This window comes from Homo sapiens, chromosome 9, assembly GCF_000001405.40.
Source record: "Homo sapiens chromosome 9, GRCh38.p14 Primary Assembly".
Taxonomy (NCBI): domain Eukaryota; kingdom Metazoa; phylum Chordata; class Mammalia; order Primates; family Hominidae; genus Homo; species Homo sapiens.
In genome coordinates, this window is record NC_000009.12 from 131024518 (window position 1) to 131038568 (window position 14051).

Genomic DNA, 14051 nt, shown 5'->3' on the forward strand with positions numbered 1-14051 from the left:
ATGGTGGTGGCAGTGGGCAGTCTCTTGGGGGTCTCTGGGACCAGGGAAGGAAGGATCAGAGAATAGAAAGCCGGCCATGGGGAGGGGACTGGGCATCTTCTGTGCTGCTCTGGGAAGTGAGAGGCTACTGCCAACGGTAGAGATGCAGGAGGGACTCCCTGCGTGGGCCGTTCTTCCCTTCATTCATTCGTTCCTGCACCAACACTCAGTGAATGCCTGCCAGGTGTCAGGCACCTTGCTAGGCACTGGGATGGCAGAGATTACCAAAGAGACGCCCGGTGCCGACGGTGAGGAGCTCTGTCCAGTGTGGGGAGCCACCGCTGAGCAGGTAACTCTGCAGGAGGCTAGCTAAGGAGTCACATTGCAGGAGGCCCCCTCTCCTGTCCTGGGGGGATGTCAGGGGTGTGCATTAGGGCTTAAGGTTGAGTTGGGCTTCTGTGAGGAGGGGGTACCTGGATGGAGTCCTAAACATAGGAGGATGGGGAGAGATGGTGGCATTTCAGGCAGTGGGGAAATTGCCTTTTTAAATTCAGGCTGTACTTCCTTCTTATTATTGAAATCATACCCGCTCTCAGTGTAGAAGCCAGATACTTCCCAGCTCGAACTGTGGAAGGCGGCAGTTCTCCCGCGCCCGCACCCCAGGCTCCCTCTCCGCCCGGCGCTCTCTGAGCCATTTCTGTTCCCTGATGCATCCTTATCTCCTAGCCCTGTGCCTGCACTGCCATGTCAGGGTTTTTCTCTTCTTAGGCATTGCCTGTTGACATCCCATGAGGGAAGAGGAGGAATTGGGAACCCCCTTCCCTCTACCACAGCCATCCTCCCTACCCCAGCCTCCCAGGGTAGCTGAGTCATTGTGACGGAGCCAGGTCTGCTGTTGAGGATGCTTCCAGGGTGGAGCGCAGGGCAGGCAGGTGCCTAAAGCCTGCAGATCCTCCAGCTGGGTGTCGGGGGCATGTGGGGGAGTGGGGCTAAAGCCCAGGGAAGGGAGAGGCCACTGGAAGCTGGGGGTTCAGGGAGCAAGCAGAGGGGCTCAGGAGGGGGCCAAGGCAGGCAAAGGAGAGGAGAGCAGGTGGAGGCCCCGGGAGAGGGGACTTTCGAGGAGGTGAGCATGATCAGAGGCCCCTGGCTGTGGCCACCAGGGGCTGTGGGTGAGGTAACTTTGCAAGTACAGTGTCTTCTGTGGAGTGGCCCAGAGAAGCTGAATTGCAGGAGGTTGAAGGTTGAGTTGGGAGATGAGGCTGTGGGGCAGTGGATTTAAACCTGTCTTGGGAAATTTGGAAGATAGAAACTTGGAGCAATAAGGGGTCCAGGGAGGATTTCGTTAGGATTAGGAGATATGTGGTCATTGCAAGGGAATGAGGCCGAAGGCACAGTGCAAGGATCAGCTTCGTTGGGGTGTAGTAAAAGAAATAACTTTCTAACGGTAGAGCAGGCTTTCTTAGAATGTGGCAACATCCCATTGCTGGAGATATTTGAGCAAACAGAGATGGCTGCCTCTCAGGGGTGTTGCAACGGAGATTCCTGTGCAGGGTGGCGAGTTGACCCAGAAGAGGGACAGCAAATACTTGGGAAGCATGTGGGCATTGTCCTTTCCAGTGCCCCAGCAGGCATCATGAATGGAGGGTGGCTTCCCCTGTCCAGAGCTCCAGACAGCTTCCAGCGATCCATCCACGCTAGTGCCTGCAATGCAGCCGTCTGTCCTTCCTAGACCAGGATTCCATACCTCCTTCCCCTTCCATAAAATGGGCCCCGTTTTCCTGGCTGCAGGGAAGGCTTATGAGATCACGTATGTGAGGCTGAAGTTCCACACCAGTCGCCCTGAGAGCTTTGCCATCTACAAGCGCAGCCGCGCCGACGGCCCATGGGAGCCCTACCAGTTCTACAGCGCCTCCTGCCAGAAGACCTACGGCCGGCCCGAGGGCCAGTACCTGCGCCCCGGCGAGGACGAGCGCGTGGCCTTCTGCACCTCTGAGTTCAGCGACATCTCCCCGCTGAGTGGCGGCAACGTGGCCTTCTCCACCCTGGAGGGCCGGCCCAGCGCCTACAACTTCGAGGAGAGCCCTGGGCTGCAGGTCAGGGAGGAGCGGGGCTTCGGAGGTTGGGACGGGGTTGGGACTGGGTCACGGCAGTAGGAGGGTCTGATGTGCCAGGACACACAGGGTGGGGGACCTGCAAAACCCCATGGTTTTCTTTTTCTTCTTTTATTTTTGGAGACTGAGTCTTGCTCTGTCGCCCAGGCTGGAGTGCAGTGACGCGATTTCGGTTCACTGAAACCTCCGCCTCCTTGGTTCAAGCTATTCTGCCTCAGCCTGCCAAGTAACTGAGATTACAGGTGCCCGCCACGACTCCTGGCTGATTCTTTTTTGTATTTTTAGTAGAGACGGGGGTTTCGCCATGTTGGCCAGGCTGGTCTTGAACTCCTGACATTAAGCGATCCACCTGCCTCGGCCTCCCAAAGTGCTGGGATTACAGGCATGAGCCACTGCCCTTGGCCCCAAACCCCATGGTTTTCAAGCTTTCTGCCACAGAAGGCTTGTTGCACCCAAGTCTTCTGTGGATGCCGCTAATGAACCAGAAGGAAGACGGGCTACTCAGTGGACCAGAGCTGTCCCTTCCCTGGCCTCCTGGGGCAGAGCCCTGTGGCTCCCAGGAGCCTGTGAGGGCTGTCAACCCACCTGGCCCCTTCCTTATATGGGTGTGGAAGCTGAGGCCTGGAGGGAGACAGCATTTTCCAGGGGCACAAATGAGGCGTGGAAGGGCCCAGGCCAGCACCTGAGTGTCCAGACTCCTGGCTGGTGTTCTTTCCAGAACTCTCCGCTGAGGGGCCTCGCTTCCTCCTCCTGTGAATTAGTAACAGGGCCTGCCCATGTGTCTCCAAGGGCTCCTATGAAAATGGCAAAATGTGACAGGAACATGGGCTTTGGAGTCATAGAGCCCTGGGTCCCACGCTGTAAGTCCGTGCCAACCAGCAGCACTTTCTGTGATGACGGAAAGCGCCTCTAGCTGCATTGTCCCATGTGGTGCCACCAGCCACCATGAGATGTGGCCAGCGCAGTTGAGGAACTGGATTTCATATTTTATTATTAATATTTTATTATTAAATATTAATAAATTTAATAAAATAATAATTATTTTATTAACTTAGCCACATGTGGCCAGTGGCTGCCACGTTGGAGAGACTGCTGTGGGGTAGCGGGAACACACACACTGTGACCAGTGCGGTGCTTGGCACGTAGAGCGTGCCCACCCACACTCGGGAGATACGCGCGCATGACAGCTCCCCGTCCTTGTCCTCACGGTAGAGAGGACGGCTGGCCTGTCGCCATGTCAGTCCATTCAGGGCCCTCCAGTTCAGCCCACGTAGGTCCACCCAGGTGTGCGGACCTGCCGGGATCGGCACCTATCTGTGTCCACGTTGCTGTGTGTCCATAGCTGTTCATCTCCACACAAGTGTGTTGGGTGGCTCTCCAGTCCACAGGTCCCCAACCCCCGGCTGCAGACCGGTACTGGTCCATGGCCTGTTAGGAACCAAGTCACACAGCAGGAGATGAGCGCGGGCAGGTGAGCTTTCCTGCCTGAGCTCCGCCTCCTGTCAGATCAGCCTCCTGTCAGATCAGCCTCCTGTCAGATCAGCTGCGGCATCAGATTCTCCCAGGAGCAACTGGGTTGCGTGTCCTCCTGAGAATCTAGTGCCTGATGGTCTGAGGTGGAACAGTTTCATCCCAAACCACCGCCTACCCCGTTCGTGGAAAAATCGTCTTCCACGAAACCTCTTCCTGGTGCCGAAAAGGTTGGAGTACCGCTGCTCTAGTCCATTTCCCCGGGTTCAGACCCAAGACGTGTCCAAACCCAGGGAACCTGCCCTCTCCTCCCCTCCAGACTTTCAGAGCGTCTCCTTTGCCCATCTGGGATAATGAGGGAACCAGGGTTAGAATCCTGTTTCCAGAGGGGACACTGACACCCAAAAAGAAGTTGCGTTCTGTCAGCGATGTGCAGCATGAGAACACACGGAGCCGGCCGTGTCGGGGTCCCCAGGACCACCCTTGGGTTTAGTGGTTCGCTATAAGGACTCACGGAACTCAGAAAAGCTGTGAGGCTCAGAGCTGCAATTTTTTGCAATGAAAGGCTACCGGCTCACATCAGCCAGTGGAGAGGCGCCCGGCCAGGTCACAGAAGGGACCAACCAGGCTCTGAGCTTCCAGCTGTTCTCCCAATGCAGTGGAGTCACACGCACAGCACATATTTCCCCAGAGCCACATGTGACAGTGTGCGTAGAGTACTGCCAACTTTGAAGGCCAGAGTTTTTTAATAATTTTTTTTTCTTAAATAGAGACCTCGTCTCACTATGCTGCCCAAGCTGGTCTCTTACTCCTGGGCTCAAGCGATCCTCCCACCTCAGCCTCCCAAAGTGCTGGGCTTAAATGTGTGAGCCACCACACCTGGCCTGAAGTCCAGGGTTTTTACTGGAGGCTGGCAGTGTAGACACGGCTGACCACCTGTGTGGCTGACCTGTCTCCAGCCCCTCCAGAGGTGAAGCCGATTCTGTGTGGCCCGAGGCCCCCACCGCAAATCACATCATCCGCATAGACTACCTAGTGTGGCCCAAGGGAAGACCCTCTTATCAGGAGGGACATCCAAGGATATGGAGGTCACTCCCCTGGATCCAGGGCAAAGGGCCAGGCCCCTCTTTGGGCAAGCCGAATCCTTTATCACACAGTACCACATCTCTAGACGTCCAGGCCCTGCTTGTCCCACTAAAATTGTACATGTCACCATGATTTTATTTAAAAATTACAATTTCTTCTCCACGGGGCTCCAAAGCTCTGTAGATTAGAAAACGTCACCCGAGGTCAGATGAAGACAGGCAGGGAGGGCCGGCCCCCGCTCCCACCTGCGTCTGTGCAGCCACCACCGTGGGGACACCCTTGGCTGTTGGAGGTTTTCTGTCTTGTTGCCTCTTGTGTTCTGGACACTGTCCCTGATGGAGAGATGACCTTTTGAGAAATATCTCCCCTGCTGCTTCTGGACAGAAACCAAGAGCAGAGCAGGACAAAGAGAGGCAAGTCTACCTTGCTCTTTTCTCCTCATGCTCCCTCTGGACACATTTAGGGGGCAGGTGCTTTCTCAGAGGACACAGAGCTTGGAAGGAAGGATGTGGCTGCTGGGTCTTGGGTCCCTCTGACCCCCAAGGAAGGGCCTAGGACTTTGGAGGAGAAGGTCGACCTGGCTGTTGCAGAGTAAGACCGCCAGAGTTGAGGGGCCGCCTGAGCACCCCTTGGACATAGAGCCCAAGCTGTCCACCTCCTGCTTCTCCTTAATGCCATGGCCTGAGTCCTGGGATCCATCTAAAATCAACTCCAGCACCCACTCATAGCTTAAGCTGGAGTTCCAGTGCCTGGGTTCAGTGGGGATTGCCCTAAAATGACTTTTTTTTTTTTTTTTTGAGACAGTTTCGCTCTGTCGCCCAGGCTGGAGTGCAGTGGCACGATCTTGGCTCACCGCAACCTCTGCCTCCCAGGTTCAAGCAATTCTCTTGCCTCAGCCTCCCAAGTAGCTGGGATTGCAGGTGTGTGCCACCACACTGGCTAATTTTTGTATTTTTAGTAGAGATGGGGTTTTGCCATGTTGTCCAGGCTGGTCTTGAACTCCTGGTCTCAAGGGATCTGCCCGCCTTGGCCTCCCAAAGTGCTGGCATTACAAGTGTGAGCCATCACACCAGGCCCTAAAATGACTTTTAAGGCATCAAGACAGTCCCCCTGCAATTGAGGCTAAGGCTGCTCTCTCCCAGCATCCATCCTATGTCTCAGAGATTTTGACCCCATTCCTTTGTGGTCATTGTCCTTGCAGACTGATGGATCAGGTCACAGGCCAGGAAGCAGAGGTGGGAGACCTTGGGCAGGTCATTGCTGTCTCTGGGCCCCACTGGCATGATAAGGGCTTTGGGATAGACACAGGAAGGCAGACCAGCCTCGTGGTTAAAGCTGGGACCCTGGGATCAGATAGACCAGAATCCCAGCTCTGCCATGCACTGGCTGTGCAACTTGGAACAGAAGGGTTACCCTCTCTGAGCTTCAGTCTCCTCATCTTTAAATGGGGTTAATAACAATACCTACTTCAGGGTTACCGTGAGGCCCGAGCCCTAACCATACAATATGTGTCAGTAGCCGCCGCACCTCCTGGCTCTGGTATCCAGTTGGTTTGAGTTCTCCAGGTGGCACTTTTTTCTGGAGAAGGAATCGCCACAGCGCGTTCAGCTCTGGACTGCGGGACTTCCCCACCCCAGGCCTCAGCTCCTTGTCCAGTAGCCGGCCCAGCAGCATCAGTACCTGGGCACTTGTGAGAAACGCAAGCTCCCCAGCTCCACCGCTGACCCCTGAATCAGAAGCTGCACTTTAACCAGATCCCTGAATGCACGCTGAGCTTTGGGAAGTGCATCCTGGGGTGATCCAGGCCTGCAAACTCAAGCACAAGCTTAGCTTGGTGCAGAGGCTCCCACTTTAGTGTTTGGGTGCTGGACCCCTCTCCCTGGCCAAGGCATCCTCTGGCAGAGGCCCTGGGTCCCCGGCAGTAGCTCCGGTTGCCGAGCTCTCGGGGAGCAGGAGGGCCGTCGGCCTGAGTCACGCTGGGGCAAAAAGATGGCCTGCCAGGAGCTCATTTTCTGCACTGATGGGCCTGATTGCTAAAGCAGGGGCTCCTGGGCGGAATCAAAACGCTGATTAATATTCAGCTGGAGCTGCTGCTGCTGCTCACAGCAGGCAGGTGAAAATGTCAGTCTTCACGTGGGTTTTCCCCGACTTCCCCTCCACGCTCTTCCATGGGGAAGCTGCTCATTCAGGGATCAGCAGGTATTTATCGAGTGCCTGCTAGGGCCAGGCAGAGCCCAGGGCCAGGGAAACAGTGAGAACAAGGGGCCACAAGTCCCTGCTCTCGTGGAAGAGATGTCACCTGAGGCAGGTGACCTGTCCACAGGAGCCTGACCCTCAGCATGTGAGGAGCCAAGAAACCCGGGGCCAGCTGCATGCCAGGCCCCACTGAGCAGGGGAGAAGGTTGCGGGGGCACACCGTCCCCCAGCTGTATCCCTGGAATGAGGTGCAGGAGCTGCTGGGAAAAGCCAGGTGACCTGCACAACCGGGTCTTCAGTGGGCTGCTTTGACCCCTGCCCGCCCAAACCTCAGCTGCTTCCTGACCACGGGCCCGACCTCACAGCCAGCACTGATACTTGCTACCCTCCCCCAGACATGTTTGTAGGGGAGGTGCTATTTTTGTTCCAATTCACAGATGGGAAAATGGAGGCTCTAAGACACTGAATGCAGTTGCACTAATCAGTAGCCTAGCACCCAGGTTGGGGTGACCCCCAAAGCACAGCCTCCTTATTTCTGCAGTGTTCTCAGAATTGGCCTGAGCTCGGCCTGTTCCTGTGTCCCAGGAGCTCCCGGGGCAGCCAGCTGGATCTGCCAGCAGAGCGATGGGGGTAAATACTAAATACTCAGGAACCTGCTGATGGCACCCTCTCCCCTCTGCCCCAGGAGTGGGTCACCAGCACCGAACTCCTCATCTCTCTAGACCGGCTCAACACGTTTGGGGACGACATCTTCAAGGACCCCAAGGTGCTCCAGTCCTACTATTATGCCGTGTCCGACTTCTCTGTGGGCGGCAGGTAGGAGGGAGGAGGGAGGCAGGGTGGCAGGGCTCCAGGACCCAAACCCGAGAGCGGAAGGTGGCTGCTGTGGGGTGGGGGGTGGGGGGGCACAGAAGCCAGGTGTGCCCCAGGGGAGAGGGAGGGAGCACCTGCCATTCGAGGCCCTGGGGGTCCACACCCAGCCCACCTCCTGCCGGGTCCCCTGCATCAGCTGATTTGCCATGTGCCAGACACTGGGTCTTGGTTCCCATTGTCCCCTCAGCCTGGAGGTTCCTTCCTTCCTCCCTCCCTCCCTCCCTTCCTCCCTTCGCTCTCGCTCTCTTTCTCTCGCTCTCGCTCTCTCTCACTCGCTCTCTCTCTCTTGCTCTCTCTCGCTGTCTCTCTCTCTTGCTCTCTCTCGCTCTCTCTCTTGCTCTCTCTCGCTTGCTCTCTTTCTCACTCGCTTTCTCTCTCTCTCTCTCTCTCTCACTCTCTCTTGCTCTCTCGCTCTCACTCACTCTCTCTCACTCTCTCTCGCTCTCTCTCTCTCTGAAGGAGTTTCGCTCTTGTTGCCCAGGCTGGAGTGCAGTGGTGCAATCTCAGCTCACTGCAACCTCTGCCTCCCAGGTTCAAGGTATTCACCTGTCTCAGCCTCCCAAGTAGCTGGGATTACAGGCATGCGCCACCACGCCCGGCTAATTTTGTATTTTTAGTAGAGATGGGGTTTCTCCATGTTGGTCAGGCTGGTCTTGAACTCCCAGCCTCAGGTGATCTGCCCGCCTTGGCCTCCCAAAGTGCTGGGATTACAGGCATGAGCCACGGCCCCCTTCCCCTTTCTAGTATAGGGGTGTTACTGGCCTAGAGAAAGGCGCTTCTCTCTGGCCCGTGGTCCTGGTCCTGGTCCTGGTCCTGGTCCTATGCGCCATTAGCACCCATCAGTGCTGTGGGCAGTTTGTTTCTCCTCCAACATCTGTCCCCTCCAGGAAGCAGGGGCTGCCTAGGAGGTAGAGGCCCATCTCTCACCTCAAGTCCCAAGGCCTGTCTCGCACATGGCCACCTGGCAGTGGGTGCCCAGGGAGGGCTGTGGGACGAGGGAGGCATGAACAGCTTCCACGTCAGTGTTTCTCAGGTTTCTTTGAAAGGAGAGAGGAAAACAGGTGCGTTCCTGCCCCAGTCACCTGGGGATGGCAGACATTGATCAGATTGCTCCCCAGTGAACACATCAGCCCGCTCCAGGATGACAAGGAAGGAGAGGAAAGGGAGAGCGTGTGCCTGGGGTCGGGGAGGACAGGAGCTGGTGCTGCAGATGGGACCCAAGAGTGGGAAGGCTGGGGTTGAGGACTAGGGGACGGCCAACGTGGCTGGGTGGAGGGCAGGCGGGTGGGCGTGGAGAGGTTGGCAGAGTGTCAGGGCCTGGGCGGGTTTAGCCTCACCCAGAAGTCAAGAGGAAGCTGTGGAAGGATTTGGTCAGGGTAGTAACAGAGTCAGATTTTTAAAACACCCCCAAACCCCTGACAGCCAAGTGGGGCAGATAGGAGGAGAGAGGAAGTCGAATGTCAGGAATCGAGGCGGGAGGCGGCAGCTTGGACCAGAGGGCTGGGGTGTGGGGCGCGTGGGTCTGAACGCGACTGAGGATGGAAACGCAGCTCTGTGTGTGAACCATGGGCCATGGGAGTGGGGAGCGGGGATGACACTGGACTCTGGGCCTCCACAGTTCAGAGGCGCTTGGGTGGCATTAGAGAGATGGAGAAGGGGGCGGCATGAGGCTCAAATGCCTGCTTTGGGTGTGTGAGCTCCAGAGAAGGCCAAGGCTCGTCACTGAGAGCCCCTGTGGCCATGAGGATCCCCCTGCTCCAACCTGCCCCCTTATGTGAGTCGGTGGGAGGAGCTCCCCGGGGAAGGCGGCCATGAGCTCCAGTGCCTCCTGTCAGGGGGCTTCGGGCCAGAGGACATCTGGGTTCCAGCTGCCAGAGCCAGACCACCCTCAGACCACAGCTGGCTGGGGCAGGCTGCTCATGGCAGGGGACAGGTGGCCCCAACAGCCTGTGTTCACAGTGGAGCCCGTGGAGTCTCACTCTCCTTTCCTGGGTCAGTGGGCTTCACAGGGCTGGTGTTTACAGCACCCCCTCCAAGGCAGGGGCAGTCCCTTGTGACTTCCCTGGTGACCACTGTCCCCAGGATTGCCTGGCGCCTGCCTCACCCCAAGAAACCCTGGGGTGCTGCCTGCCTAAACTGGGCCTTGCGTGGAAGCCGTGCTACGTGCCCTACCACACAGTGTGTCCGCTATCAGCTAAAGCACCTGGAGCCGCAACAGCGGTTGGTGATTCGTCAACATCCACAGAGGGCAGAGCGTGGAACGTGGCTTAAGGGAGCCACTGAGTGGCCACAGAGGAGTGTCCAGGAGCTCAGGGTCCACGTGGAGTCGATGAGGACGGGCTTCAGCTCCAGCTCAGCCACTTAGCATCTGTGAGTTCCAAGGCCTGAGCCTGATGCCTCATGTGTGGAATGGGGACGCTAATGTCCCTCCCACCTCTGGTGAGGCTCTAGGGAGAAGCTATTGCCTTGGCCAGGGGCAGAAGCCATGGCCTCTGAGCAGCTCAGGACAGGGACAGTGGTCGGGACAGGGACAATCACTCACAGGGTCAGGCTCTGCCGAGCATGCCGCGGGCTCCCAGGGCACCCCTGTTCCTGCCTGATTCCACCTGTCTCTTGATCCTGTGTGTGGAATGGGGCCACAGGCCGGGGCTGCTCTCAAAGACCCCGTATTTGTCCATTCTTGTACTGCTGTAAACACCTGAGATGATTATTTATTTATTTATTTATTTATTTTTGAGACAGAGTTTTGCTCTCGTTGCCCAGGCTGGAGTGCAATGGCACGATCTCGGCTCACTGCAACCTCTGCCTCTTGGGTCCAAGCAATTCTCCTGCTTCAGCCTCCTGAGTAGCTGGGATTATAGGCATGCGCTGCCACACCTGGCTATTTTTGTATTTTTAGTAGAGACTGGGTTTCTCCATGTTGGTCAGGCTGGTCTCCAACTCCTGACCTCAGGTGATCCGCCCACCTTGGCCTCCCAAAGTGCTGGGATTACAGGTGTGAGCCACCATGCCCAGCTGATGGTAATTTATTAAAAGAGGTTTAATTGGCTCACAGTTCCACAGGCTGTACAGGAATCATGGTGCTGGCATCTGCTTGGCTTCTGGGGAGGCCTCAGGAAACTTACAATCATGGCGGAAAGTGAAGAGGGATCAGGCACATCACATGGCCAGAGCAGGAGCAAGAGAGCAGGGGATGGGGTGGGGCTGACGGGTGGGTGCCACACGCTTCTAAACAACCAGATCTCATGAGAACTCACTCTACAGTACCACGGGGGAGGGTGCTAAACCATTCAGGAGAATTCAACCTGATGATCCAATCAGCTCCCACCAGGCCCCACCTCCAACATTGGGGATTGCAGTTTGACACATTTGGTGGGGACACAGATCCAAACCATATCCGAAGTGGACTCATGGGGGATTTGGAGTGACTCAGGAGCTGTCCCTGTTTGGGGTACCTTCTTTCCTGCCCTTTCGGACACAGTTGAGGGATAGCTGCTGGAGGCGGTTCCCTTTGCCTTCCACACCTATTGCTGGTGTGACTGCTGGCCCACTCTCCACTTGGGAGACTAAGGTGACTTCTTCCTGGGTCCCTCTCAGCCCCCAGGTGGGGCTCCTCCCAGGCAGAAGCTTTCTGTGCCAGGCACTTGCTAGCTGGTGGCTTTGGGCAGCTTCTCTGTGCCTCTCAGTTCACCCATCCATTCTATGGGGGTGGTAACAGGCTGGTGAAGATGGAATGGGTTTGTTCCAGAGCTCACCAGTACAGTCAGTTCTCTGTTACTGCTGCCCCCAGGGCACATAGTAGGTGTTCAGTGAGGGCCAAGATTGAGGGTGGAGTCTGGCTCACACCTGCAAACAGGGGCTACCTGGTGACTAACTCCTTGTCTGCCCTGCCGGCACCTGCGGGTCCCCTTCCTCCTCTGTGTCTTTTCCCAGGTGCAAGTGCAACGGGCATGCCAGCGAGTGCGGCCCCGACGTGGCAGGCCAGTTGGCCTGCCGGTGCCAGCACAACACCACCGGCACAGACTGTGAGCGCTGCCTGCCCTTCTTCCAGGACCGCCCGTGGGCCCGGGGCACCGCCGAGGCTGCCCACGAGTGTCTGCGTGAGTGTCTGAGTGTCACAGGGCATCAGGGACCCGAGGCTGGTGTTGCAGGCGGGGAAAGGAACTCCCCAAAACGTCGTGGTGGGGGCTGCTCCTGGGTACGCCCCGGGGGCAGCTCGGGGTCTCTGTGCTGCTGCAGAGATAAGGACGAGCAGAAGGGGAGCCTGGGGAGGGGGTGCATTTAAGCCTCAGTCTCTCCTCCACTAAGTAGCTTCCCTGGACCAACTCTACCCATGCAGAGGCGCCTGTGGTGGGAGGGCCGGAAGGTCCCCGACTTGCTTCTTTGTGTTAACCGCTCCCACCCCAGCTGCTAATCGGAACCAGGCTACCCAACAAGCAAGGGGGTGCTGATGGCCCACCCAGCCTCTCCCACGGGCCCCCAGGCAGCCCTTTGGTGTCCCAGCCCCCATGTGATGTGGCTTTGACCACCTAACCTCAGAGAAGCGCTGGAGAGAGGATGATGCCATCATGTCTTCTCCAGGGACACAGGCCAAGAGCAGGGACCCACTGACTTCCCTTCTGGCTGGGGCACTGGCTGCAAGCCCCACCCTGTCCCCAGACAGCCTGGTTTCCTCCAGGCTCTCCATGCACAGCCGCCGTTGCTGGGGGCCAGATCCCAGCTGGTGCTGGTGCTGCTGGCAGGAGACACATCTTCACTCACAGGCTCGCTGGGCGGGCAGCTTGGCCTCTGGACCCCGCTGTCCTCTTGGGCCTGGGCCACTGGCGACCAGAACTGGGGCTGGGCCGGGGGCGGCTTGTTCTGAGGGTGGGGCACTGTCTGCAGGAGCTGCCCTCGCTGGCCTGCCTCCACCAGAGAGTCCTGGGGCCAAGGAAGCTGTGCTGGCTGGCTTCCACTGTCCCAGCCTGCTGCTGTCTCCATGGTGGGGACACAGAGGCCAGACTGCTTCTACCATGTCCTCAGCTCCATGGTCACGTCTGTCTCTCAGTCAGCAGCCTGGGAGCCAGGGTTTCAGGCTTGACCCTTCATCCCCACCCTCACCCGCAGCTGAGACAGCCCCGAGCCCTGAATTCCGCCTCATCCACATCGCTCCAGTCTGTCTAACTTCTGTCCATTGCAGCCGATGCCTTGGGCCTGGCCCTGCCTCCTCTCCCTGCACACCCGAAGCTTCCTCTTCCCTGCTCTCCCTGTTCCCAGCCCTCCCCTAACTGCAGCTAAGGCTCTTTTCTTGAAACACGGCCTCACTCTGTCACCCAGGCTGGAGTGCAGTGGCCCAATCATAGCTCACTGCAGCCTCGAATTCCTGGGTGCGTGTTCCTCCTACCTCAGCCACTAGAGTAGCTGAGACTACAGGCACATACATCACCATGCCAAGCAATGTTTTATAGAGCTCGGCTCTCACTGTTGCCCAGGCTGGTCTTTACACTCCTAGGCTCAAGCAGTCCTCCTACCTTACCTTCCAAAGTGCTGGGATCACAGGCGTGAGCCATGGCACTGGGCCAAGACTTTCTAAAGGACAAATTTAGTAACATCTATTCCCTGCTTAAACCTTCCCACGGCTCCCCCTTTGCTCCCAGCTAACGTCCACTGACCACGGCAGCCCAGCCTCCCTGGAGCAAGCTCTGCTAGCCTCTGACTTCACAACTGCCCCTGCACTGCAGGCCCCCCACTGCACAAAGTCCTTCCTTCCCTGCCATCACACGACATGCCGTCTGCAGCCAGCCTCATGGCACACCCGCACCAGGCCACGCGTCTGTCTCTGCATGTGGGGTATCCCCTGGGCTTTCGCCTCCTGTCTGCGACGCCCTTCCCGCCCCCTCTTCCTCTGCCTGGCCTATTCCTCACTGCTCAGCCTTCAGATTCAGCGCGGCCATGACTTCCTCTCGGAAGCCTTGTCCCACCACCCCAGCACAGCTGCAGGGGCCCCTTCTTTCGGCTCCCAAAGCCCCCAGCCTCTCCTGTCTCAGCCCTGCACCTGCAGGGGGTTTGCTTGCTTGCCGTCTGGGCTGTGGGCAGCACGAGGGCGGCAGGTGTAAATGGGTCCGCACCTTTCATGGATCCACCCCTGAGCTCACTCTGGGAGCCAAGACAGAGCCAGTCCTGCACACAGACTTTTAAAAATGATTTAATGGGGGAAATGAAAGGTGACTTGTGCTTTCTGTACCCCTGAGTGACCTCACACAATAGTGAGAGTCACACTATTATGGCTTGGAGGACCTCCAGGAGATTTTGGAGAGAGCCAAGCTGCCACTCCAGAAGGCAGCCAGCCTCTGATCG

The 14051-nt window shown here is 57.5% G+C and overlaps 1 protein-coding gene across 3 annotated transcripts in view; it reads left to right on the plus strand.

Annotated features, from left to right (window-relative positions):
* LAMC3 (laminin subunit gamma 3) overlaps window positions 1–14051 on the plus strand; it is an 85300-nt gene that overhangs the window by 15344 nt on the left and 55905 nt on the right. For all 3 annotated transcript variants that reach the window (XM_011518121.2, NM_006059.4, XM_006716921.3), the window contains exons 2-4: window positions 1768–2072; window positions 7528–7658; window positions 11649–11815. In XM_011518121.2, coding sequence (XP_011516423.1) covers window positions 1768–2072; window positions 7528–7658; window positions 11649–11815 — 603 coding nt within the window. The remainder of the gene's footprint in view (window positions 1–1767; window positions 2073–7527; window positions 7659–11648; window positions 11816–14051) is intronic.